The sequence below is a fragment of the Homo sapiens genome, chromosome 2, assembly GCF_000001405.40.
Source record: "Homo sapiens chromosome 2, GRCh38.p14 Primary Assembly".
Lineage (NCBI taxonomy): Eukaryota > Metazoa > Chordata > Mammalia > Primates > Hominidae > Homo > Homo sapiens.
The window spans coordinates 11440457-11466469 of record NC_000002.12 but is presented as its reverse complement, the minus strand read 5'-3'; the positions used below and the strand labels follow the sequence as shown (position 1 = coordinate 11466469).

The 26013-nt window shown below is 42.9% G+C and overlaps 1 protein-coding gene across 9 annotated transcripts, besides 3 other annotated features; it reads left to right on the top strand.

Annotated features, from left to right (window-relative positions):
* Positions 1–557: an enhancer, noted in NCBI's record as "H3K27ac hESC enhancer chr2:11606039-11606595 (GRCh37/hg19 assembly coordinates)". NCBI's record gives its function as "activates a minimal SCP1, AML or CMV promoter by ChIP-STARR-seq in primed H9 embryonic stem cells {active_cell/tissue: H9 hESC(primed)}" and the evidence as "EXISTENCE:reporter gene assay evidence [ECO:0000049][PMID:30033119]".
* E2F6 (E2F transcription factor 6) lies at positions 309–22095 on the top strand. 9 transcript variants are annotated; one of them, NM_001278277.2, is made up of 9 exons: positions 309–698; positions 8119–8189; positions 9237–9291; positions 10996–11128; positions 12672–12888; positions 14664–14819; positions 16344–16458; positions 18696–18843; positions 19947–22095. In NM_001278277.2, the coding sequence occupies exons 5-9, from the start codon at positions 12734–12736 to the stop codon at positions 19991–19993; spliced, it is 621 nt and encodes a 206-aa protein (NP_001265206.1). In that variant the 5' UTR covers positions 309–698; positions 8119–8189; positions 9237–9291; positions 10996–11128; positions 12672–12733; the 3' UTR covers positions 19994–22095. The 9 variants fall into 9 exon arrangements, 8 of the variants coding, with proteins under 8 accessions (NP_001265206.1, NP_001265205.1, NP_001265204.1 ...); NM_001278276.2 differs by lacking the exon at positions 8119–8189; NM_001278275.2 differs by lacking the exon at positions 10996–11128.
* Positions 558–1115: an enhancer, noted in NCBI's record as "H3K27ac hESC enhancer chr2:11605481-11606038 (GRCh37/hg19 assembly coordinates)". NCBI's record gives its function as "activates a minimal SCP1, AML or CMV promoter by ChIP-STARR-seq in naive and primed H9 embryonic stem cells {active_cell/tissue: H9 hESC(naive and primed)}" and the evidence as "EXISTENCE:reporter gene assay evidence [ECO:0000049][PMID:30033119]".
* Positions 16882–17143: a silencer, noted in NCBI's record as "fragment chr2:11589453-11589714 (GRCh37/hg19 assembly coordinates)". NCBI's record gives its function as "represses an EF-1alpha promoter that drives an FKBP-Casp9 reporter gene in an ReSE screen in phorbol 12-myristate 13-acetate-treated (for megakaryocytic differentiation) K562 erythroleukemia cells {active_cell/tissue: K562(+PMA)}" and the evidence as "EXISTENCE:reporter gene assay evidence [ECO:0000049][PMID:32094911]".
* Positions 22096–26013: the final 3918 nt, after the last annotated feature.

Below are 26013 nucleotides of genomic sequence, written 5' to 3'. Positions count from 1 at the left end.
GGCGACCAAAAAAAAAATTAAAATAAAAAAAAGGAATAAATGAACATCTCTGCGGCTCAGAACTTTCAGTTATCACCTCAGAACTTTCAGTTATCACCGTCGAGAATTCCAGGCGACCGCTGGGTTTTCCCGGTTGCCTCTTTTCTCTCACCCCTGTTCCCTTCCTCTGGAATTCGGCTCCACCTCTTCCTTTTCCTTTGCCAGCCTCTCCGTGGATTCCGCGGTCCGGGTTTCCCGGGCGGCAGCCGCCGGGAGAGGATCGGTGCGTGGGAGCGCTCCGGCAGCGGCGGGCATGCGCAGAGGGGGGCGGTGTACTGCGCATGCGGGAAGATGGCGGGCCGGGCGACTTGAGATCCGCGGGTCTCCCTCCTCTTTTTCCGTCTGCGTCGGGAGCTCCCGGGCACGTGAGGCCGTGCCGCGTTTACTGGCGGGCGGGACGGCCTAGCCGGGCGGCGCCTCGGAGGAAGCCGCGGACCCCTTAGGTGCTGGGCCCTTGGAAATCGGCGCGTGGGGGGCGGTGCTCGAGCTGAGCGCGAGAGGGCGGGAGAGCTCGTGGGGTGCGAGGGGAGCAGGACGCCCGGCCGGGCAGCATGAGTCAGCAGCGGCCGGCGAGGAAGTTACCCAGTCTCCTCCTGGACCCGACGGAGGAGACGGTTCGCCGTCGGTGCCGAGACCCCATCAACGTGGAGGGCCTGCTGGTAAGCTCCGGGACGGGACGGGGACGGGCGGTGGTCTCCCAAATCCGGCCCCCTCCTCCCCGCGCCGCCGCCAACCCCGCTGGCCGTCGTCTGGGTCGTCTGCTCCCCCTGGGCCAGGCGCTGCCCATCACGTGCTGCGAACTGCGCTCTCCCGCCTTCTGCTTTCAGCATCTGCTCACAGACGTGGTATCAGTCTTCTAGGCTTTTACATCGGAACTTCAGAGCACTGTTGGAGAAAATTGCTCAACTTTGCATTAGAGAGTCCATGTTTATCTCCTTCTATGGACTCTAGCTGTATCTCTGCAACCTATCATTTGTTTTTCTGCCTCCTCTCCCATCCTTCTGCTCTACTGCAGCCGTTTAAAACCTTGTCCACGCTTTATATTTCCCACGCCACAGCTCCCATTCATCAAATTATCTCCCCACCTGTTTGACAGAGAAAATGGTTAGGAAATTTGGCTCCCTTTCCTGCAAAGGCTGATTTCTTCTCTTGTTCAGGACCAGATGCTGTATTCCCCGCGGTTATCAGGGCCCTCAACAAATGCATTTTCTTTTTCTTTTCTTTCTTTTTTTTCTTTTTTTTTTTTTTTTTTGAGATTGAGTTTTACTTTTGTTCCCCAGGCTGGAGTGCAATGGCGCAATCTCAGCTCACTGCAACCCCCACCTCCCAGGTTCAAGAGATTCTCCTGCTTCAGCCTCCCATGTAGCTGGGATCACAGGCATGCGCCACCACACCCAGCTAATTTTGTATTTTTAGTAGAGACGGGATTTCGCCGTGTTGGCCAGGCTGGTCTCGAACTCCTGACGACCTCAGGTGATCCACCGAGCCCGACCTCTCCCCGTATTTTCAATTTCTCTGCTGCTTTCTTTCTATAACTAGTAGTAATTAAACATTTTCCCAAGTCATTATGCCTGGTTCCCCTACCAAATAGTTTGTGATTATTGCCTCATTTAATTTCTCATTTCTCACAGCAGTGTTTTATAATACTAAAAGATTATTATTCTTGTTTCACGGTTGCCAAAACAGACTTGGAGATGCATGTAACGCCGGCTTGCCTGTGGCTGGATAATAAGTGTAGAAACTTGGGTTGAAGCTCCAAATGTCTAACTCCAGATGATAAATTCTTGACTACTAAAACCGCATTCTAAATCCATCCCCATCTTAAAAGATCTCTCCCTTGATTCCATATCCCCTCCCATCTACTGTCTCTCTTCCTCTTCACAGCTAAACTTTTTTTTTTTTTTTTTTTTTTTGGTGACGAAGTCTTGCTCTGTCACCCAGGCTGGAGTGCAGTGGCCTGATCTCGGTTCACTGCAAGCTCCGCCTCCCGAGTTCACGCCATTTTCCTGCCTCAGCCTCCTGAGTAGCTGGGACTACAGGCACCCGCCACCACGCACGGCTAATTTTTTTTTGTATTTTTAGTAGAGATGGGGTTTCACCGTGTAAGCCAGGATGGTCTCAATCTCCTGACCTCGTGATCCACCCGCCTCAGCCTCCCAAAGTGCTTTCACAGCTAAACTTCTTGAAAAGGTTATTTACACTCACTGTTTCCACTTGATGGCCTCTTATTACCAGCCAACCCACTGCTGGGGACCCCTATCCTAAGCACACTTGTAAGACCATTCTAACCAAGGTCACCGACAAGCTCGTCAATTCCAGCAGCTGTTGTAGTTTTGACTACAACACTCGTGTTAGAAACCCTCCCTTGAGCTTCCTTGACGTTTGATGCTCCATCTGCTTCTCTGGCTTCTCCTTGTCCTCATCCTCTTCCCATTCCTTCATGTTGATTTGTTTTTCTGTTTTTGTTTTTGTCCCCCCCCCCGGTGCAGGATCTCACTCTGTCACCCTGGCTGGAGTGCAGTGGCACATCATGGCTCACTGCAGCCTTACCTCCCAGGCTCAAGTGATCCTTCTGCCTCCAACTCCCAAGTAGCTGAGACCACAGGCACATGCCACCACACCTGGCTAATTATTTTTATTTTTAGAGATGGGAGTCTTCCTATGGGGCCCAGGCTGGTCTTGAACTCCTGGGCTCAAGCAGTCCTCTCACCTCAGCTCCCCAAAGTGCTGGGATTACAGGCGTGAGCCTCTGCAGCTGGCCACATGTTGGTATTATTCAGGGTTCTCTTCTACCGTCTCTACACATTCTTCTTAGGGGAGTTCATTCACTCCTCCCATGACTTCTGTTACCATCTACATTTGATCATTGAACGACTCAGGGATTGGGGCACCAAATCCCATGAAATTCAAAATCTGAATATAACTTTGATTCCCCCAAAACTTTACTGTTTGCTGGAAGCCTTACTGATACCGTAAACAGTTAATTGACACATATTTTGTATTTATATGTATTAGTTACTGTTTTCTTATAGTAAAGTAGCTAAAGAAAAGAAAATGTTATTAAGAAAATCATAAATAAGAGAAAATCCTACTCCTTCGGGGGAATTAGGTCATCGTAAAGGTCTTCATCCTTGTCTTCACACTAAGTGGGCTGATGAACAAGAGTAAGAGGAGGAGCTGGTTTTGCTCTCTAAGGGGTGGCAGCGGGTAAAGAAAATTGGTCTCTAAGTGGACCCACACAATTCAAACCTGTGTTGTTTGAGGGTCAGCTGTATATTGGTACCATCTGTATTGGTGGTCTTAATATTTGAGAACGTGATAAAAACTCTAAGCTCACTGTGGAAAAACCACTTAGTTTGCATGTAGTATCAGCAGATACATCCCTTGAAATCTTAGACATACAGTTCTGGTATTTTCAGTTACCATGTCATAATTCCCAAATCTATAAATCTCCTTCAGGGTTTTCCAGCTGTCTACTAGACCTTCCTACTTAGGTTTCAAACTCCTATTAGTCCCCTCTCATCTGAGGTTTCACTTTTCTTTATTTCAGTTAACCTGTGGTCCCCCAAACTATTAAAATGAAAATTCCAGAAATAATTCATTAGTTTTAAACTGCTTGCCATTCTCAGTAGTGTCATGAAATCTTGAGCTGTCCAGTACCACCCAGCACCTGAATCTTCCTTTGTCCAGAGTTCCCATGCTGTCACTGCGCCCTGCCCTTAGTCGCTTAGTAGCTGTTTCTTGATTCTCAGACCAACTGTCACGGTGCTTGTGTTAAGTAGCCCTTATTTTCTCAGTAATGGCCCCAAAGCACAAAAGTAGTGCTTCCAGTATGCTTCCAGTAGTGCTTCCAGTATGCTGAAGAGAATTGATGAAGTGCTTCCTTTAAGTGAAAAGATCTAAGTTCTTGACTTAGTAAGGAAAGAAAAAAAATCTTATTCTGAGGTCGCTAAGATCTACAGTATAAGATATTTTGAGAGAGAGACCACATTCACATAACTTTCATTGTAGTTTATTGCTATAATTGTTGTATTTTATTATTAGCTGTTAATCTCTTACTATGCCCGATCTATAAATTAAATGTTATCACATGTATGTATGTATACGAAAAAATAGTATATATAGAGATTGGTACTGTTTGCGGTTTTAGGCATCCACTGGGGGTCTTGGAATGTAGCTCCCAGGGATAAGGGTGGACTACTCTATATCCAGAATTGAATTTATTACTCTATTGGTCAGGGCTCTCCAGAGAGACAGACCAATACTAACACAGATTTTGGTACCAGGAATGGTTCTGGGAAACAGAATATTAAAGATGAGTTTCCTTAATTGGGGTTTTTGGAATTGATTCTTTAATCTGATTAGAATCTAAAAATGCCAAGAGCTCTACTTCTAATAGTAGAGAGAGCACTGGAAGTCCATGACACAAACTGTTTATAGATATGCAAAATAAATGCCTTTTTATTCTAATTCACTGCTTATAAGAGGCAAAGAATTTAGTGACGCTATATGTGATATTTTCAAATATTTTTGGGAAAACAAGGATTATAATGACATTGGTTGGTTGCTCCTATTGTCTTTGGACAAAGTGATGAAAGAAAAGGATGAGCTCAGGGATTCAGTTTCATGGCTGGAGTTCCACATAAATGACCTAAAAGTTTCTAAGTGTGCCCTGGGTTAGAATCTTCTATCCTGTAGCCATGGGGCTGAAATTGCTGAAAATCAAACACAAGCCTTCATCATGTAACTGGCCAAATTACAATGGAAGTTGAACTCTTGGCCAGTCATGGTGGCTCATGCCTGTAATCCCAGCACTTCGGGAGGCTGAGGCGGGTGGATCACCTGAGGTCCGGATTTCGAGACCAGCCTGGCTAATGTGGTGAAACCCCGTTTCTACTAAAAATACAAAAAATTAGCCAGGCTTGGTGACGTGCGCCTGTAATCCCAGCTACTCGGGAGGCTGAGGCAGAAGAATCACTTGAACCCAGGAGGTGGAGGTTGCAGTGAGCCGAGATTGTGCCACTGCACTCCAGCTTGGGCAACAAGAGTGAAACTCCATCACAAAAATAAATAAATAAATAAAATAGAAAGTTGAACTCTCTTAGCCTCACAGAGCATCTACTGTTAAAGTGAGGGTATTGGTTGGGAAAGAGTGGGGTCCTGCAAGTTTGGATGGGATCATGTGGGAAGATGAGGCTGGACACATTGAGCCCCTAAATTCTGATGAGTCTTGTTTGCCAGAGGGGCAGTAGCATTTCCACCTACAGTGGTATCATCCTTTCCACCCCTGTCTAAGGGGATTAATTCTGCATTGCCTGTGGAGATAGTAATGGCCTCCTCTGAAACAGTTCCCGGACAAGACAGTGCTGATTCTCATCAGGACCCACCCCGCCACCCCTCTTTGCTTCTAGACCTATTACTAGACCCAAGTCCCAGCAGACCCCTAAAGGTGAGGTGCAAAGTATGACTCACTCCACTTCTGGTACCAAATCTGTATTAGGTTTCTGGTCCTGTAAGATTATAGTGGAGCTGAAAAATTTCTATCACCTGGTGACATTGTAGCCATCATAATGGTCATAGCACCAAACATTACCTTTTCTATGTTTAGATGCACAAATACCATTCTGTTAGTTACCGTTATCTACAGTATTCAGTCAGTCACATGCTCTACAGGTTTGTGGCCTAGCAGCAATAGGCTATACTGTATAGCCTAGGTGTGTAGTGGGCTGTACCATCTAGGTTTGTTTAAGCACTCTATGATGTTCACGCAACAAAATCGCCTAATGACGATTCTGAGAAGATGCATGATTGCATGTAGATATATGAGAGGGAATTTATTAGGGAAATTGGCTCATGATTTTGGAGGCTGAGAAGCCCCACAATAGGCTGGCTGCAAGCTGGAGACCTTGGGATGCTGGTAGCATGGCTCAGTCCAAGTCCATAGCATGAGAACCTGGGAGGCTGCTAGTGTAACTCCTAGAGTCCAAAGGCCAGAGAATCTGAAGTTGTTGTCCAAGGACAAACGGGAAAGAGGGTCCCAGAGGATCTGGACTTCTGAGAAGGGAGAAAATAGCATTGATTGGAGGTAGAACTTGGTCTGCATAATTGAAAAATAAGGAAAATTTGAATGGGTGAGAATGCAATAACCTTTCCAAAGACCTCTTGAAGGAATATTGCTCCCCAAAACAGAATTGGTGTAGAGAAACATCTGTATAGAGAAAGGTTTAACCAGCTTGGAGGCAGTGCTTAGCATTTTAGTCCCTAAACTTCATCTTTTATTTTTTTTTCCACCTTTGAAGCAGCTCTTCAAAGCTACACAATAAAGTATAGGTCTTTAAATAGGGGACTTGGAGCAGTGGTGAAATAGCTTGGAATTTGAAAAAATATGCTGACTTGCCCCAGAAGATGCTGGTTCCTAGAGAGCTGTATACTCTGTCAGGGCACAAGATCAGCCTGAGTGATTTTCATTTTGTAAGCCTCTGACTTCTCCATTCATTTTGCAGCTAGCATGCAAACAATCTGCCTATTTATCATCTTTTTTTTTTTTGAGACGGAGTCTCGCACCGTCATCTGGGCTGGAGTGCAATGGCACGATCTCAGCTCACTGCAACCCCTGCCTCCCGGGTTCAAGCGATTCTCCTGCCTCAGCCTCCCAAGTAGCTTTTATTACAGGTGCCCACCACCACCCCCAGCTAATTTTTTGTATTTTTAGTAGAGACGGGGATTTCACTATGTTGGCCAGGCTGGTCTTGAACTCCTGACCTTGTGATCTCCTCCCCCCACCCCGCCTCCCAAAGTCCTGGGATTACAGGCATGAGCCACCGCGCCTGGACTTATGTTTCTATCTATATGTCTGTATATGATGTCTGCCACTGAGGGGCAATGGTACTGTTGTGATTCCTCCAAGATAGAGTGTTTTTGTATTTGAAGAGGAAAAAAAAACAAATGAATGCTCTTGGAGACTGTTTTCCCACATACATCAGTATAGCCAATATGTAATGGAACTGCATTGATAGCAAAGAGTGGGGAAAACAAAGCCATCTTTTTTCATATTATGCCTAACTGAGGTGTTATTTCTGTACCAACCTGTGATCCACTGTCTAGATGAGATGGGTAGGGAGGTGTGTAGCAGAGAAGACACCCTAGAATGCATAGCTAGCGAGGCAGCCTCTTTGGGAGCCAGTAAGTAGAGTGTGTAAGTCCTGGGCCTGCTACTCTGAATTAAGAACGGGAACCTCTGCAGCAAGGCCCCTCTGAGCTTATATATAAGGATTTAGGATGTTTGTTTATGTGTGTTTCAAATCAATGTGATAAGGATGGATTTTTTTTTTTTCCATTCAAGAATCTTGCTACCGTAGCTGGCCCGTCTCATACTATTAGCAGAGGGGTTAAATGTAAAAATAGCAATGGCAGTTGGTCACACTTGTCTAATGTCTGACTTTGATAGGACTGCTTCAGAGTTTCACTGTTGGATACCATGTTTGCAAGTCACCATTGTCAGCACTGTTTGAGAGAGCTGGCCAGACCTAGTCCCTACCCCCAAGGCCAGCATTCCCAGCTCCAGTGTTGCATGCCCTAGCAGGTCTACGTGTTCAATTCTAACAACTAAATTAATTTTACAGTGGGATTCTGTCTCAATGGGAGTATTCCATATTGGGGTGATTTGTTAATAGATGCTATCATCTTGTCATAGATGATAAGGAAATCATTGTGCCGAGGATATTGTTAACACCAGTATAAACAAAGAGCTTCTTAACTGCTCACCTTGCCTTCAGGCTTCCTCATTTCCCAGTCCTTTTGCCATATTGCTGCCATACTTATATTTCTAAACCATTTACTTAATTATGTCCTAGTCTGGTTCAGAAACCTTTGGTGATTCTCTACTGGTTATGACATAAAGTCCAAACTCTTTAGCATTAGTTTTATGTGGTGCCAGCATGCCCTCCCAGCTTCAAAGTCAAGTCACTTACACACTGGCCACTTCAGTGGGTTCCCAGAAACATGCCATGCCATATACATCTTCACACCTTTGTTCATTTCCGGTACCACAATCCTGTCTTTTTTCTTCTCTCCCCACAGTTGTTTATTCAGGCAAATCTGGCTTGCTGGGCTAGGCTCAGCTGAGGGCTGCCTTCGCCATGAATCCTTCTGTGAGTTCCCTGTCTGGGTGTATCCCTAGTACTGCTGTTGATTCTCTTCTTAGAGTACCTATGAATTCACTTGCCCCAGTTTTGCTTTATGGCCAGTTTTTTCTTAGATAAGAGCTAAACCTGATGACAGCCTGTCTGGAGGCACATTAACATTGATGTTACTAGGAGTTTCTGTTCATAGGCTTTCATTTTAAGGTTTGGTTTCATTTTATTTATTTTTTACAGAAAAACAGTTTCTAAATGTTACTACCAGTTTTATGCAAACTTTCAGAGCCTCTAAATAGCTGGTAAAATGGTGAGCATTGATAATGGAGCTTCTACTAATTTCCTGGTTGTTTCAGGAATTTAAAAGAAACTTTTTATCTAACGCAAAAGTTTCTAGTTACCCACAGCATGCATTGTTTTCCATTGTTAGAAATGCTGCTGTTTTTACATTAATTATAATGGGAATGCATAGCTGCCTATGAAAGCTTGTGAGCAAATTTTGGGGAACCACGTGTACTTAATAATAGCAAGGAGTGAGCATGTGTTGGTTGAGATAGATCTTCTATCTCTACTAAGCTTTCCCAAGTCAGGGACAGTGTTGTAATGATCGTACCTGATGTATTCAGTATATTTTGTGTGTGTGTGCATGTTTTTTTGTTTTGTTTTGTTTTTTGAGACGGAGTCTTGCTGTGTTGCCCAGGCTGGAGTGCAGTGGCATGATCTTGGCTCACTGCAACCTCCACCTCCTAGATTCAAGCGATTCTCTTGCCACAGCCTCCCAAGTAGCTGGGACTACAGGTGCCTGCCACCACGCCCGGCTAATTTTTGTATTTTTAGTCGAGATGGGGTTTCACCATGTTGGCCAGGCTGGTCTCGAACTCCTCACCTCAGTGATGCACCTGCCTCGGCCTCCCAAAGTGCTGGGATTACAGGCGTGAGCCTCTGCCCAGCCAGTAATTATCATATTCATATTCCCAGACCTTTATACTATTGAGTAAAATGCTATTTGTTTGCATTGTTGTTTTAAAATCACTAAGTTAAATTTTTTATCTTTTTTTTCAGCCATCAAAAATAAGGATTAATTTAGAAGATAATGTACAATATGTGTCCATGAGAAGTAAGTTGATTCCTGAATAGGTTTTAGGTTTTGTTAGTTTGAACTTCTTATGATTAAAATGATTTGTTTAAGTGTATGAGTTGATGAGAAACTGAAATACAATTTGTTATGTGTACACTGAAATGTAAAGTTGCAAGTTTTAGTAACAACTCCTGAGGTTATGGGTTGAATCATGTGCACAAATGCCAGTTTATTCTCCATAGAACAGTCTGTATTTAAGGCTATTTTCTCAGAATTCCTCCTGGGAGAGAAATGTACTCTTTCCTTCTTGTCCCTTATCTTAGGTTAATGTTTAGGGTATCTGTTAGAGGCGATAGGATGTAAATGGCTCTAGTTCCCTCTTCTGGAAGTTTCCATGATAGACCGCCCCACCTCAGCTTCCTAATCTCAGTGGATACATAGTGCATCGATAAGTCAGTGTGAATCTTAGAAATACTCACCCTTAGTTTTGCCTCAGTGCCTGCCCCAGTCTCACCCATAGTTGGTCACTGAGTTTGGTCAGCTTCACCTTTGATGTGTTTCTTGCATCTGTCCCATACCACCAATTTATAATAATATCTAACATTTATTGAGCTCATACAGTGCCTGGCACTGCATTAAGCTCTCTGCATGGATTGTCACAATGACCTTTCAAAATATAGGTATGGATTAGAATTCTTACTTTATAAAGGCCCAGAGAGGCTGAGGTGAGTTGCTCAGAGTCAGGGTTGAATCTCTTACCTCTCTGACGCAAGAGCCCAGAGTCTTTACCACAACGTTGAATTGCTTCTTCTCGTTCAGGGTCTAACTTCCTCTGTAGCTGAAGTTGCTGGGTCTCCTTCTTAGAAGGCAGTCAGCTTCCAGGCTTTCCAACCTGGATGCTGGAAAAATCCAGGGGGATTTGTCTAATACAGAAATTGGATTATGATATCATTCAACCTAAGTTCTTCAGTGACGCTCTTTTACATGTAGAGAAAACCCTGATTCCTTGTATATTTGATTTTAAGTGTTTGCATTAAATTCATAAGCCACTTCATATTAAAAGAAACAAGGCAGTAGAGAATGGGTAGACAGAGCAGACCAGGCCCTTGTAGGCTGTTTCTTGCTTAATGCCGCAGCCTCTTCTTCCAGCATGCTGCCGCCCTCCTCCACAGCACAAGCTACACCACCTGTGATCCCCAAAGCACCCCAGGTTCTCTAAGTCTGCTTTGTCTTCTGAGGTGTGGTTTCCTCTCCCTCACTTCAGCCCCTCACCCTCTGTCACAGTGGGCAAACACCGCCCATTCGCCTTCCTGTTCCCTATGCCCAGTGTACTCCCATCAAGAGGCCTTCCCAGTTTCCCCCTCCAGTGAAGGTTTGATTTCTTGCCATCGGGTGACTTTGAATACCTCTCTTAGCACTTACCTCAGGACATATAATAGAGTTCCTTATTAGACTACGGAGTTGCTTTGGTGTGAAGACCTCTGTAATCCTATTCATATCCCCTCAGCAACTGTCACATTTTTGGTGTTCCGTTGTACATGTTCTTTATAAAATAACATAGAAATATGCTTATCCTGAGCATATAAGACCATGCCTTGTTAATAATTAGTATAATTAAATATATGCTTTTTAAAGTTAGAATTTCTCATTTGTAATCTTCCTGAGTTTGTTGTAGAATTGTGACCCTCTACTTCCGATTAAAAATCCTTTTAAATTCCTAATTTACGCCTATTTAATCTTAAGTGTAGGAATGGGCTCCAGAGAGAAGACATTTATATTATGAAATATGTACCTTTGTTCCTGAAGTAACCGCCAGTGGTCTTTAAACTAAATGTGACATTGTGGAGGTTCTGAGTAAGGACATTTCTGACTGAAGGTAGGATGGACATTTCTTTGAGGCATACTGACTGTGGTGTGCTGTGGAAGTAGAGAAAAAGAAAGTCATATATTCCACACCAGAGTGACAAAGTTATTTTAGAAATTATTTTTTCTGCAAACCAAGCCATAAGAACTTTTTCTTAGTATCAAATTGGAAAAGATGACAAGATACTTAGTTCTGGCGAGCATGTGAGATGAGGCCCGTGTATACTGCATAGAATGGATAGAACCCACAACCTGCAGAGCAGTTTAGCGGCACATATCAACATTCCTTAAAAATGTCCAGTTAAGGGGACATACAGTAGTTTCGCAACAAAAAGGTTCATTGAAATATGAAGCAAAATCGTAAAGTTGGAGATGGTCTAATTTCTAATATTGGGATAAATAGCAAATACTGCATACAGTTAAGCATGCAGCCATTAAGAATAATGTTGAAATACATTTGTTGACATGTCAGGATGTTCACAATATGGAGTTAAAAGAACGTGTTGCAAAATTGCATGGTCCTATTTTTGTTTTTAAAAACTATATATATGATTGGCACACAAGTGTGAATGTGTTAGAGGTGTGTGTGTGTATGAAAACCCCAGTCATTATAGTAGGTGAGTGAGGGAATTAAGGGATTTTTTTTTTGTCTATCTGTTAAATTAATATAGGGTAGTGAATATTTTTAAAAATAGAGATACTGGGCCAGCCGCGGTGGCTCTTAATGCCTGTAATCCCAGTACTTCGGGAGGCTGAGGCAGGTGGATCACAGGGTCAGGAATGAATTCAAGACCAGCCTGGCCAATATGGTGAAACCCCGTCTCTACTAAAAATGCAAAACAATTAGCCAGGCGTGCTGGTGCATGCCTGTAATCCCAGCTACTCCGGAGGAGAATTACTTGAACCCTGGAGGCGGAGGTTGCAGTGAGCCAGGATCGCGCCACTGCACTCCAGCTCCAGCCTGGGCAACAGAGCGAGACTCTCTCAAAAAAAAAAAAAAAAGAGAGAGATACCACTGTTGCTCGAGGTATGTCATAATTGTCTTAATAGAAGACTAGTTTGGGCTCTTTCAAAAAAATTCATCAGACAACTTACACTATGACATGGATAGAGTCATTAAAAGGGGAAAAAAAGCCGCCAATTCTCTGCCTTTGCTTTGTAAAGAATTCCTTAACTTGAAGACCAAATGAGAAATTTAATTTTAAAAATCATGTGTAATTCTATTCCTGAGAGTGGTATGGATGCAAATTAATCTCACTGCTTTGTCCGAGAAGATACAGTAGACTTGTGAAAGTCCACATGTTCGGTGGACACTGGTTGCATATTTCAAATCCTCCTTTGTTTAAATCTAAAGCCTTTGTTTAGAGCCAGGATAGGCCAGTGAATTTTTTCTCCAATTTAAGAGATTTATTTCATAGAAACCAGCTTTGATTTGGTCAATGTGTAGGCATTTCTGTAGATGTCTGCTATCTGATCAAGAGGAAACAGATGATTTTTAAAAATGAGTTGAGAAATGTTATTTAAAATTTTACAAATATGTTTATTTTGTTTCCCAGAAGCTCTAAAAGTGAAGAGACCTCGTTTTGATGTATCGCTGGTTTATTTAACTCGAAAATTTATGGATCTTGTCAGATCTGCTCCCGGGGGTATTCTTGACTTAAACAAGGTTGCAACGAAACTGGGAGTCCGAAAGCGGAGAGTGTATGACATCACCAATGTCTTAGATGGAATCGACCTCGTTGAAAAGAAATCCAAGAACCATATTAGATGGATGTGAGTTGCTTTCAAACTTTTTCGTGGCTTTTGTTCCTTCTCATCAAGTGACAATTCCATGCTTAAACTAGATAGTGGCAGTGTTTTGACAATATAATACAAAGGTACGACTTCTTGTTAGAAGAGAATTCTATAAAATTTTCTTGCATCATCCTAGAGAGTACATAAATTTTTTAAAAAGTATTTCCTCAGTTCCAATTGATTATTGATATTGGGAAAATTTGTTAAGGTTGTAAAACAGTGGTTTTCACACAGAAGTGTAGTAAACACCTAGAGGCTTACTGCCTCTGGAGTTGTAATTCGGTAGGTCTGAGGGAAAGCAGGAAAGTACATTCTCAACAGGTAGCCCAGGAGATTATGACGTAGCGAGGTGTTTAAAATACTGCCCTGAATATTAAAAAAAAAAAAAATCAGACAGTGTCTAAAAGACAGTTGCTAAAGACTTGACATGATGAGGAGAAATCCAATGGAAAGGGAAGCTTAAGACATTGACATAGATAAAGGTATCTGTGTGTGCACACATGAGAATGCTGTTGTACCTAGAATAGGCAAGTATTTGGGGACAGGGAGAAATAGTTACAGCAAATAAGTACATAGTGACCTCTCAGGCAAATGAAAACCTACCAGCAAAGACCATAAAATGACCCTAAATAATTAACTTAGTTATTAGAGGAAAGGGATTCATAAAGGAGGTAATTTTTTCAATAGTACAGAAGTACAGGTTGAATTCTAATTTGAGCATGTTTACTAAATAACACTAAAAAACACTTTAGGAGTTTATATCGGCATGCATTGTGAATCACTAATTAGAATCAGATTTGAAAACTACCAAGTAAAAGATAAAGGCAAGGACCTTTCCCTATTTATTTTCCATTAAGATTGAAAGAAAAAAATGAAAATCAGTTGTTGCCTGGTCATATCATATTGGAGTAGGCACTAATAACTAAAGAAAATATGTCTTTTTTTTTTTTTTCTTTTGAGACGGGGTCTTGCTCTGTCACCCAGGCTGGAGTATAGTGGCACAATCTCGGCTCACTGCAACCTCCACCTCCTGGGTTCAAGTGATTCTCCTGCCTCAGCCTCCCCAGTAGCTGGGATTACAGGCATACACCACCACGCCCGGCTAATTTTTGTATTTTTAGTAGAGACGGGGTTTCACCATGTTGGCCAGGCTGGTCTATAACTCCTGACCTCAGTTGATTCACCTGCCTCAGCCTCCCAAAGTGCTGGGATTACAGGCGTGACCCACCATGCCTGGCCTGAAAATAATGTCTTTTTTTAAATGATGAATATAATCATTATATTCAGACAGAATGTGTACACTAGGGAAAGATACAGACTCCTCACATGTTAGCAGAGGCACTGTCATTTAGCCCACCCTATGTTTTCATGTGTAGGAACTCAAGTACTGTACGATTATAACTTATCAGAAGCTGCGTTGTAAGTACTAGGACTGAGGCTGAAGCTGGGTGTTATTGACTCTTAGTTCAGTGCCCTTTTTATTTCCTTAGGCTGCCTCTGCTGTTATTAATTTCTGTTAGGTTGTAATGTATTTTTTTGAAAAAGACTGTATAAGATGAAGAACTATAAATAATTTATGTACAGAAGGAATAATGGCTGTCTAGAACAAAGACGGCAGAAGTTAAAAGTCCCTAGTTTCTATTGTTGTGGAAAACACTTATGGCAAACATTTGGAGAAGTTCCAATAACCTAACTTGAAATTACTTTGTTATCTCCTAGTTGGTATTGATGCTGACATTTTTTTTCTTCTAAAGAGGATCTGATCTTAGCAATTTTGGAGCAGTTCCCCAACAAAAGAAGCTACAGGAGGAACTTTCTGACTTATCAGCAATGGAAGATGCTTTGGATGAGTTAATTAAGGATTGTGCTCAGCAGCTGTTTGAGTTAACAGATGACAAAGAAAATGAAAGATATCCTTTAAGTCTATACCTTTTTAAAATTTCTGCTTCCAAAACAGATTACTTAAGTAGTAGAGTCAGCTTGGGGACTTAATTTATATATTTAAGATATAAAATTAGACCATTGAAAGTTAAATACAAAATTAGCCAGGCGTGGTGGCACACATGGCTGTAATCCCAGCTCCTTGGGAGGCTGAGGCAGGAGAATCGCTTGAATCTGGGAGGCCGAGGTTGCTGTGAGCGGAGATGGCGCCATTGCACTCCAGTCTGGGCAACAGGAGCGAAACTCCGTCTCAAAAAAAAAAAAAAAAAAAGTTAGGTAAAAGTTGGTAGTAGTATAACCTCAAACATACACAAACAGTAGGTTTTTTAACTTCTGTGTGGCATTTCTTAGATTAAATTCTGGATGATGACCTCAGGGGTACAGTACCAAACCAAGGTTGATGGTACCACTTAAAATGGTGAGTATTCATTTTTATAGTCTGAATACTATAAGGATAATAAAATATTTGTTGGCTTTTGTGAAGTTCATGTTTTTCCTAGAAATTTGTGAATGGAAGTTGATTTCTGAAACAGTGAATTGCCATTGAAGTGGTGCTTAAACTGCCATTTGTGTCCACAGAAGCGCGTTGTTGCTTAGTAGCAGTTTTGCTTTGAAACTCAGTGTCTCAGGGAGCTGGGGGGTGGGGCTGGGGGAGCCTTGTCTTTGGTACTGACCTCCTGGGTGTCTTAAACCTATATGCTGTGCTGTTCCCTGTGGCACCCTTTGAGGGGCTCACTGATTCTGAGCTATCCCATACCTCATATTTACTTAAAACTCTCTCCAGCAGTCAAAAACCTCTATTCCCACAGTACAGGTACTGGAAGGAAAAGAAAAAATAAGCACCAACATTACTGCAGCCAATCAGAAAAAAAAAATGCTAGAGAAATCCAGTAAATCACTTAATTGGTAAAATTTGAGGCAACACAGTGAGACAAGACGAAAAAGACTCAGGTAGTGAGATGGAAAATAATTTTGGATGAAGTAACATCATACATGATAGTCTTGAGAAACTTAATCTCTAAGTCGTTTATGCCTTTTTATAGATTTTTTTCCATCTTTCATTTTAGGGGATTCTTGTCAAAGCCCTGAGTGTTTTTTCTCAAAGTTATAGTAAGATCTAGCTTACTATACCTGAAAAGGGAATAGGGTGAAAATTTGAATTTCTTTATGTGGTGTATTTGTGTTAGGGACTCAGACTTTATTAATATTTTTCTCCAGAAATTGCCATCATAATCATAATAGTAGAGCTTAAAGAAACTCTTTAGGTTGTGTTGTAAATATTGTAAAACCCTTCATAAAAATCTTAATTTTATGTGAATAATAAAGATTATCAATGAATTTTTTTTTTTTTTACTGCTTTCCTTAATGGTGAACTTGTATCTCATAAAAACTAAAAACATTCTAACATTACCCTTGCGTTAACTGAATTACTAGAGATAAATTACCTCCCCAGTAAACAGCATTCTGTGTAGAGATCCTTGACTGAGTTTTACACTAGCATATGTGACCTATCAAGACATTCATAGCATTCAGGCCTTCCATGAACAGATCGTCATTGCAGTTAAAGCTCCAGCAGAAACCAGATTGGATGTTCCAGCTCCCAGAGAAGTAGGTAACCCTGCATTTTTAAAAAGATTTAAAGAGGGATGAGGGCCGACTGCTTAGGCTGTGATTTATTGCAGTCATACTTAAGAGCCGTTGTGTGCACGTGCACTGTACATCCGATACTGCTCAAGGCACTTCACACATTTAACTTGCTTCAACTAACACAAGTCAAGTAGTCATTATTATCTTAAAGATGAGGAACCAAAAGCTCACAAAGATGAGTTAACTTTTTCAGGATCACCAGAATTCAAACCCAGTTAGTGTGGCTTCATAGTTTGCTTTTCACTATTGTACTGCAGTGCTTCTTAGAAGAATCACCAAGAATTGGCCCATCTTAAAGTTGCAAAAGTAAGGTCTGGTGTCAGCCAAGGCACTGGGGAATTAACAAACTCTTGAAAGACTGATGAATAAACCAGGACGCTAGGTTCTGAATTTAAAATGGAAAAGTAGGATTTCTGTGTAAATGAACATTATTTTTGTCAGCCGCCAGCTGCTCAGTGCGTTCTTTCCCTTGCAGAAAAATTTGCATTGAAAGATAATTGCATCAGAAGGCTGCTTGATGAGGACAGAATCAGAACCAAGGAATGTGGCCATTCTTGGGACACATCCTCAAGACTGACAGCCTTGATAGACCCATCGGTGCTCACAGTGCAGCCCTCTGCATTGCCCTGGGGGTTTGCCTCCTGCCTAGCGAAGAATATTTTCTTGACCTGTTTTTCCTTTTGTCCCCAGCAGACCACTGTTCAAGTGAGCCCTGTATTACTCCACAGTGTATGGGGTAAGGGCTGGCTTTCATTTACCTCAGTCACACTCAAGTTATGATTTCTTGGTGATGTTTCCTAGTTGTTTTATTTTTAAGAAACTGCCAATCAACACATCTTTACTTTGGGGCATAATAATTCATTCTGCAGAGACTAATGGATTTTTGGCTTTTCCCTATGCTGTGAGCTGCTTCAGACTGTAATTGCTAAATCTGGCTGAGCCTTTGATCATACCTGAGGCTTCTCTTAGAGTCCTATTTAAAGTCTCTGCACATGGGCCCTCTTGGCCAGAGCCTGACCGTGAAGATCTGGGGACCTAGTGTGATGGGTGGCAAACTGGCCCTCAGGTCAGATCCGGCCTGCTCCTTTTTCTTAGAAATAATTTGATTAGGACACAGCCACATGCACATTTGTTTACATATTGTTTCTGACTGCTTTCATACTATAGTGGCAGAGTTAAAAGGTTGTGACAGGGATAGTGTGACTTGCAAAGCCAAAAATATTTACCATCTCAGCCTTTATGGAAGTTTGACAACACTTAATTTAGTGGAATGTTATTGTTAAGAAATATCTATTAAATTGTACAGGATTTATCATTCAAACCAGTTGTGACCTGGCACTCTAGAAGCTGAGCACAGATGTTCTCTAGCCCACTTGTAGTACCAGGAAGTCATAGCAAGGGCAGGTGAGGCTCTGAGACCGTCTGAGAGGCTGCATCTCCACAGACTCACCCTGGTATAAGATCACAATGAGGTGTGGAGTGGGAGGGAGCAGTGGTGTATGTGTGTCTAGCCCAGGCCTAACTGCATTAAAGGGGAGAAAACAGACTTTGTTATAGTTGAAGCAGCTCCCAATTAAAGCAATCATTTATAACTGGGGCTGTTCCTTAAGAATTTAGCATAATTCCCAGTAGAAGCACTGAAGTTGCCTGATACCTTACGGAAAAAAAGTATTTTGATTAATCCTGAGGAAATCTGAAATCAAAGGATGTGAATATCATAATGAGTTAATTAGTCCTTTATAAATAATGTAAACGATTTTTTTGACATTTTACTTGAGATATATTTTGATCTTTTCCTGTTCTTTCAACTGGACAAAAGAATGGCCCTTCCATTATCTCAAGACCTGTTCATTGGTCTGGAAATCCAAGCACATATTTATCCTGTGAGACTCTAGGGTATTCTGGAGTTCTGTGTCATCAAAACACTGATTTTTGACTGAAATACGGCCTCCTTGAAGGGTCAGCTCCTGAGTAGAAAAAGACAGGCTCTTGAGTACTGAGGTTTTCACATGATAGCTCTGAAGCCATTACTGCAGGATCACATGTAGCTGTCTTCAGCATGGGAATTGGCCAGTGCTGTAATGTGACTACAGCTAAGGTGATTTTCTCAAATGTCTCGAAATTTTTGCAGTTCTAGTGAGTGAAAAAATATGATTTATTATTTCATTCATCTTGACGATTCCTGTGTCCTTTGCTAGGACTCTATCACAGTGCACATAAGGAGCACCAACGGACCTATCGATGTCTATTTGTGTGAAGTGGAGCAGGGTCAGACCAGTAACAAAAGGTCTGAAGGTGTCGGGACCTCTTCATCTGAGAGCACTCATCCAGAAGGCCCTGAGGAAGGTAAATATACCAGTGATTCTGACAGTATTTTAATTAAGCATGCATAATTTTATTAATGTGTATTATGGCCTTAAGATATTTTTACTCTTCCTAGCCACAAAAACATGAGTAAAAAATTACAGCATAACTCTTACTGTAGTTTAGAATATTTCTGTGAACATTATAGTTAAATTTCTGTAGTTTTGGTAGCAGTGAAAACTTAGAATTCTGTTTGGTCCCATGGTGATACCAACTTGCGATGGTCTCTGAATAGGGCAGGCTTTCAGTCAAACAGCAGCTCCACTCGGCCAAAGAGCCTGCCCATGACCTGGCCGGGAGACTTCCCCTTCTGCACATCTTGGAGAAGGGAAGGGGCTAGACCTGCTTGACCCAGGCAGTCAAATACCCACTCAACTCAGCCAACAGCCCACTCCACAAGAGTCAGTCCTCAGTTGCACATTTCTAAGGACGTCGCCTCTGGACCCATCTGGCCAGAGCAGTGACTCCATCTAACCTCGGAACCCAGCTTGCAGTGCTGTCCAACAGCAGATCCCAAATAGTGGAATTGCCTGAGCAGGGGACCAGCATCCTGTGACCGGCCTGGGCAGAAGCCATCACAGTACCCAGCCAACAGCTCCACCGACATCCGAACAAAGACCCAGCCAACTGGAGAACTTGACAAGCACTGCGGGCCAGGGTGGTCTTCAGGTGGCCCTTGCAGAGCCACAGGCTGGACCGATAGGAAGCTTTCACTGACGAAGAATACCTGTAATGACCAGAAGAGGGGGCTGTTGCCCACATGCAGACAACAGCACAAAGACACAAGGATTACGAAGACTGGGGGAGTCGTGACGGCTCCAAAAGAAACTAATAAAGCCCTAATAAGGGAAGGTTTCCTCCATTCTCGGACGGGTGCTTTCAGGTACAAGTTAGAGTTCCAGTTTATTCTTGAGAGGCTGAAAAAATTAGCCTTATGCCATTAACCTGAGAATACGTGTTCTTGACCAGGCATCTTCAGGGTTTTCTGAAGTAGTCAGATTGTGTATTCTTTTACGTATTTGCCTATCAGACCTTCACTTAGGTGTATTCACTTAGGTGTATTTCTCTCTCGTGTTCTTTTCCAGAAGAAAATCCTCAGCAAAGTGAAGAATTGCTTGAAGTAAGCAACTGATGGCATTTGAGAATTTATGTATCACTGAGTTTTTTGGGAATATCTTCGTGGAGAATTACGCATCAAATTTGATTCTCAGAGCAATAAATTATCCATGAAGTGCTCTCGTTCTCAGTAGCGGCATCATGGCCAGTAGTGTCTTTGAGGAGTTCACCACTTAGATTACTGAGTAATTGTGGTTTCCACATTTGAAAACAACTCCTTTTATAATTATTCACTGCTTTTTGTCAGTGAAATAGACATCTTGCCTCCTGAAGTAGCTTCATCACAGAGTGTCATGAAGACAGACAGTCAGGCTGAAATGGACAGTTCTTTGTGGACTCTACCCTTCCCTTCAAGGAGTATGTCATATATCACAAAAGAAATTGCCTTACACTGGTTCATGTTTGCAGTTACTGTTGTACATTGCATAGATGTACACACGAATTTAAATGTGATGTCTTTGTATATATCTGTATAATGTTGAGATTACTTACGAAATATGTCTGAGTGACACTTTTCACCCTTGTACAGCCAAAATAATGTATATATGGAAAGTGACAGACAAATTCTCTAATCTCTTTGGTACCTATAACTTATTAGAATCCTCTGGATGAGGGTTAGAAGAGACTTTTTCCAAACTTCTACATGTAGAAGTATCATAAATGTGCTACACATTTATGTTTGTGGATTTAATTAAAGTATTTTAATATGGTTTTCAGTGCTAAAATTGGAGTCAGATACTTCTTGGTTTTAAGCTGTCTACCTAATTGCTGTCTCCCAGCAGACTGGTGGCATGCCCAGTGGCTTTGGGGGCAAGGATAGAAATGCCATCAGGAAATAGCTGAATTCATTGTGAAACATGAATTCAGTCATGGTGATAATTGGAAACTCCTTTCAGGTTTTTGCAAGTAGATTTTGTAATGTTTGTGTATGCAGCCTTGCTGTTGAGTCAGTCCAAGGGGTTTTACTTAGGACAAGTTGTACCTTGCCCTCTCTCCAGCTCTGCTCCCACATTTTCACATACCTAGCTGTTTCTACCTCATTGGGTAAGTCATTTACCACTCTGTGCCTCAGTTTACTCTGTAGTTTACCATTAGACTGTGAGCTCCTTGAGGGACTTTGTCATAATCACTGTTACATCCCAGTGCCTCACACCATGCCTGGCCCTTAAGAAGTGCTCAATAAATGTCTGAACAAATAAGTGAGTGGAGTGAGTGAATTGTAAGATCAGAATAATAATATTTGGTTTGTCTATCGTACAAGATTCCTGTATCGTTTGAATATTGCTTTTAAAGAAATATTTGAAGCGACTTCAAATTCAGACTGTGTTTAAAAAGATTTAAAATCGGAATCCAAAATCAAAGTATTAAAAAATAATGCTGAGTGTTTAGGATTCACATACCTCTGAGCTCTGGTGGCTTTTGCCAGTCCTGTCCCTCTGCTGAGCACCAGCCCTTCCTGCAGCAGTCCTGCCGGTGTGTTTCTGTGCACCTGGGGATGAAGTGTGCTCCTCCCCCAGCGGTTAGCCTCAATGCTTTTCCTCCCTCTGTTTTATTATTTGAAATTAGCCAAAGAAAAGCTGCAGGGGGCACTGCTGATCATCACTGGACTGGTGGGTCGTACTGTTTGACAGAATAGGGAATACAGGAGGAGGAGCAAGCCTAGGGTAAAACTTAGGTTTGGGACATGCTTGATGAAAGCAAGAGTTGAGCAGGTTGTTGTGTGTATGTAGGTCAGGTGCTCAGCGGAAAAGTCTGAGCTGTGTAGTACGTCAGGCAGATGTCAGTTTAGATGCGATAGTTTAAGCCACAAGAGTAGGAGAGGTCATCTAAAGAGTACAGCAGGCCTAAGGGCATCTATATTTAAGGAGAAATACAGAAGAAGTCTCCTGAGAAGGAATAATGGGGCGGGTGGGGAGGGAGAAGGCAGTGTCCCAAAAACCAACAAAGGTTTTACCAAAGGTAATACCATCATTTCTGAGCAGCAGTTCCTTAACTTGTGAATGTGGCAAATGTTCTCCTTTACAAATTGTTCTGAAGGTAAAATGAGATCATGTAAACGAAAATCCTTTGTAAATTACAGATGTGTGTTATAAATGAAGTATCTCTCGAGTCACTCCATCTTCTGGCGTTGGGTCTCTGATTCTTAAAACGGATAAAATAAGCATGAACTCGTTTCTGGGCCCCTCCTCCTCACTAACCCTAACCTTTCCAACCTCACTGTCCCATCTCTGTGCGCACCGCTTCTTCCTTCAGAAACCTTGAGCGATCCGTGTTTCCTTCAGGCCGAAGTGCAGACTCTGGATATAGAAGGGCCCAAGGCTTGCTTACCAATCCTGCCTTGGTACCTGCCTTGCAGACCTTCACCCCAGTAAATTGGTCTCATCGCTACCTGAAGCACACAGTGAACTTTCCCATCTCCCTGCCTTTGCTCTTATCCTATCCTCTTCCTGTTCTCTGTGTTTCAAAATCGCATCCCTATTCTGGACCTGGCTTCACCCATGCCTCCCCTTTACTCCTACCCTGCATGCAGTTTATACACAGCACGCAGGTGGCCATCTTCCTTCCTCATAAGTTGCTGCGGCTACGTTCCCAGCTGCCATTCCATGTTGTCAGAGTGTAAGCTCATGTCTTAATAGGTATTTCTCATATTAATGTAGTGTATGATAGGGTTTGGCTGTGTCCCCACCCAAATCTCATTTTGAATTGCAGTTCCCATAATCCCCATGTGTCGTGGGAGGGACCAGGTGGAGATAACTGAATCATGGGAGCTGTTTCCCTACATCCTGTTCTCGTGATAGTAAGTTCTCACGAGATCTAATGGTTTAATAGAGGGCTTTTCCCTTCGCTCGGCTCTCATTCTCCCTCCTGCCACCATATGAAGAAAGACGTATTTGCTTCCTCTTCCACCATGATTGTAAGTTTCCTGAGCCAGCCATGCTGAACTATGAGTCAATTAAATCTGTTTCCATTATAAATTACCCAGCCTTGGGTATGTCTTTGTTAGCAGTTTGAGAATGGACTAATACAGTAAATTGGTACCACAGAGAGTGGGGTGCTGCTGTAAAGATACCCAAAAATGTGGAAGCAACTTTGGAACTGAGTAACAGGCAGAGGTTGGAACAGTTTGGAGGGTTCAGAAGAAGACAGGAAAATGTGGGAAACATTTAGAACTTCCTAGAGACTTGTTGAATAGCTTTGACAAATTGCTGATAGTGATATGGACAGTGAAGTCCAGGCTGAAGTGGTCAAGATGGAGATGAAGAACCTATTGGAAGCGGGAGTAAAGGTCACTCTTGCTATGGAAAGAGACTGGTAGCATTTTGCCTCTGCCGTAGAGATGCATGGAACTTTGAGAGAGATGAGTTAGGGTATCTGGCAGAAGAAATTTCTAAGCAGCAAAGTGTTCGAGAGGAAGCAGAGCATAAAAGTTTGGAAAATTTTGCAGCCTGATGATGGGATAGAAAAGAAAACTCCATTTTCTGGGGAGAAATTTAAGCTGGCTGCAGAAATTTGCATAAGTAACGTCAAATGTTAATCACCAAGAGAATGGGGAAGATGTCTCCAGGGCATGTCAGAGACCTTCCAGCAGCCCCTCCTATCACAAGCCTGGGGGCCTATAAGGGCCCCCCCCCCACCCCCCGCTCTATGCTGCATTGGGACATGGTGCCCTGCATCCTAGCTTCTTCAGCTCCAGCCTTGGCTAAAAGGGACCAACATAAAGCTCAGGCTGTTGCTTCAGAGGGTGCAAGCCCCAAGCCTTGGCTTACACATGGTGTTGGGCCTATGGGTGCACAGAAGTCAAGAATTAAGGTCTGGGAACCTCTGCCTAGATTTCAGAGGATGTATGGAAACACCTGGATGTCCAGGCAGAAGTTCGCTCTCTGGAGAACCTCTGCTAGGGCAGTGTGGAAGGGAAATACGGGGTTGGATCCCCCACACAGAGTCCCGATTGGTGCACTGCCTGGTGGAGCTGTGAGAACAGGGCCACCGTCCTCCAGACCCCAGAATGGTAGCTTGCACTGTGCACCCGGAAGAGTCCCAGACACTCAACACCAGCCTGTGAAAGTAACCAAGGTGGGGGTGGGGGTATACCCTGCAAAGCCACAGGAGTGGGGCTGCCCAAGGCCATGGGAGCCCACCTCTTGCATCAACATCACCTGGATGGGAGACACGGAGTCAAAGGAGATCATTTTGGAACTTTAAGGTTTAATGACTGCCGTATTGGATTTCGGACTTGCATGGCACCCGTAGCCTCTTTGTTTTGGCCAATTTCTCCCATTTGGAATGGGTGTATTTACCCAATCCCTGTACCCCCATTGTATCTAGGAAGTAACTAACTTGCTTTTGGTTTTACAGGCCCATAGGTGGAAGGGACTTGCCTTGTCTGAGATGAGACTTTGGACTTGGAGTTTTGAGTTAATGCTGGAATGAGCTAAGACTTTGGGTGACTGTTGGAAGGGCAGGGTTATGTTTGGAATTATGAGGACATGAGATTTGGGAGGGGCCAGGGACAGAATGATATGGTTTGGCTGTGTTCTCACCCCAATCTCATCTTGAATTATAGTTCCCATAATCCCCACATGTTGTGGGAGGGACCAGATGGAGAAAATTGAATCATGGGGGCTGTTTCCTCCATCCTGTTCTCGTGATAGTAAGTTCTCACAAGATCCGATGCTTTTGTAAGGGGCTTCCCCCTTGGATCGGCTCTCATTCTTCTCTCTCCTGCCACTATGTGAAGAAGGACATGTTTGCTTCCCCTTCCACCATGATTGTAAGTTTCCTGAGGCCTCAGCCATGCTGAACTGTGAGTCAATTAAACCTCTTTCCTTTATAAATTACCCAGTCTTGGGTATGTCTTTATTAGCAGCATGAGAATGGACTAATACAATGTTCAGTAAGTTGTTGCTGGTTGGTAAGTGACCTGACCTGACTACATCATTCGACCCAACTCCCAAGAAATTTTTTTTTTTTTTTGTAACGGAGTCTCACTCTGTCACACAGGCTGGAGTGCAGTGGTATGATCTCAGCTCACTGCAACCTCTGCCTCCCAGGTTCAAGTGATTCTCGTGCCTCAGACTCCAGAGTAGCTGGGATTTCAGGCATGGGCCACCACAGCTGGCTAATTTTTGTGTTTTTTTAGTAGAGGTGGGATTTCACCACGTTGGCCAGGCTGGTCTCGAACTCCTGACCTCAAGTGATCTGCCTGCCTCTGCCTCCCAAAGTGCTGGGATTACAGACATGAGCCACCACACCTGGCCCTGAGAATTTTTTTTAAAAGATGACTTCAGGCCGAGCGTGGTGGCTCACGCCTGTAATCCCAGCACTTTGGGAGGCTGAGGCAGGCAGGTCACAAGGTCAAGAGATCAAGACCATCCTAGCCAACATGGTGAAACCCATCTGTACTAAAAATACAAAAATTAGCCGGACCTGGTGGCACGCACCAGTCGTCCCAGCTACTCAGGAGGCTGAGGCAGAAGAATCACCTGAACCTGGGAGGTAGAGGTTGCAGTGAGCCGAGATTGCACCACTGCGTTCCAGCCTGGCAACAGAGCGAGACTCCATCTAAAGTTAAAAAAATAAATAAATAAATAAAAAATAAAAAAAAAACGATGACTTCAGTAACTAACGGAATTTGTAATGAAAAAAAGATTGCCAAATTTGCATTTTGCTAAAAGTTAAAGCACATCTAACTAATTGTCCTTTGCCTCAGCAAAAGATGAGCCCCCCTGTACTTGAGACAGCTATGACTCCTTTTGTGCCTCCCTTTTGATGGTTTTGGCCCCAGGGATGCATGTATTGGCGGAGTCAAGTGAATGCCCAAGGTTAGCAAGTGAATGATGGTGCTGCTGAGGGCTTGAGGGGCTTAAGACAGAACCAGCGTTTCACTTTCATACATGAAACTGTTTCTTCATATCTCAGAAATGGGCCACTCGATTAACATAATTAAAAATGAAAATCAGAATAAAACCACCTGGGTCATTAAAAGCAACCCATTGTATTACAGTGTTTCGAAGTTGGCTTTTTGATTCTATTAGG

What these genes read in the sequence shown, in the direction of transcription:
- E2F6 (NM_198256.4), top strand. Translation starts at nt 591, where the DNA reads ATGAGTCAGCAGCGGCCGGCGAGGAAGTTACCCAGTCTCCTCCTGGAC. An exon ending in ATGTTCCAGCTCCCAGAGAA is followed by an intron (nt 16,459 to 18,695) that starts GTAGGTAACCCT and finishes GTCCTTTGCTAG; the next exon opens with GACTCTATCACAGTGCACAT. An exon ending in TCCAGAAGGCCCTGAGGAAG is followed by an intron (nt 18,844 to 19,946) that starts GTAAATATACCA and finishes GTTCTTTTCCAG; the next exon opens with AAGAAAATCCTCAGCAAAGT.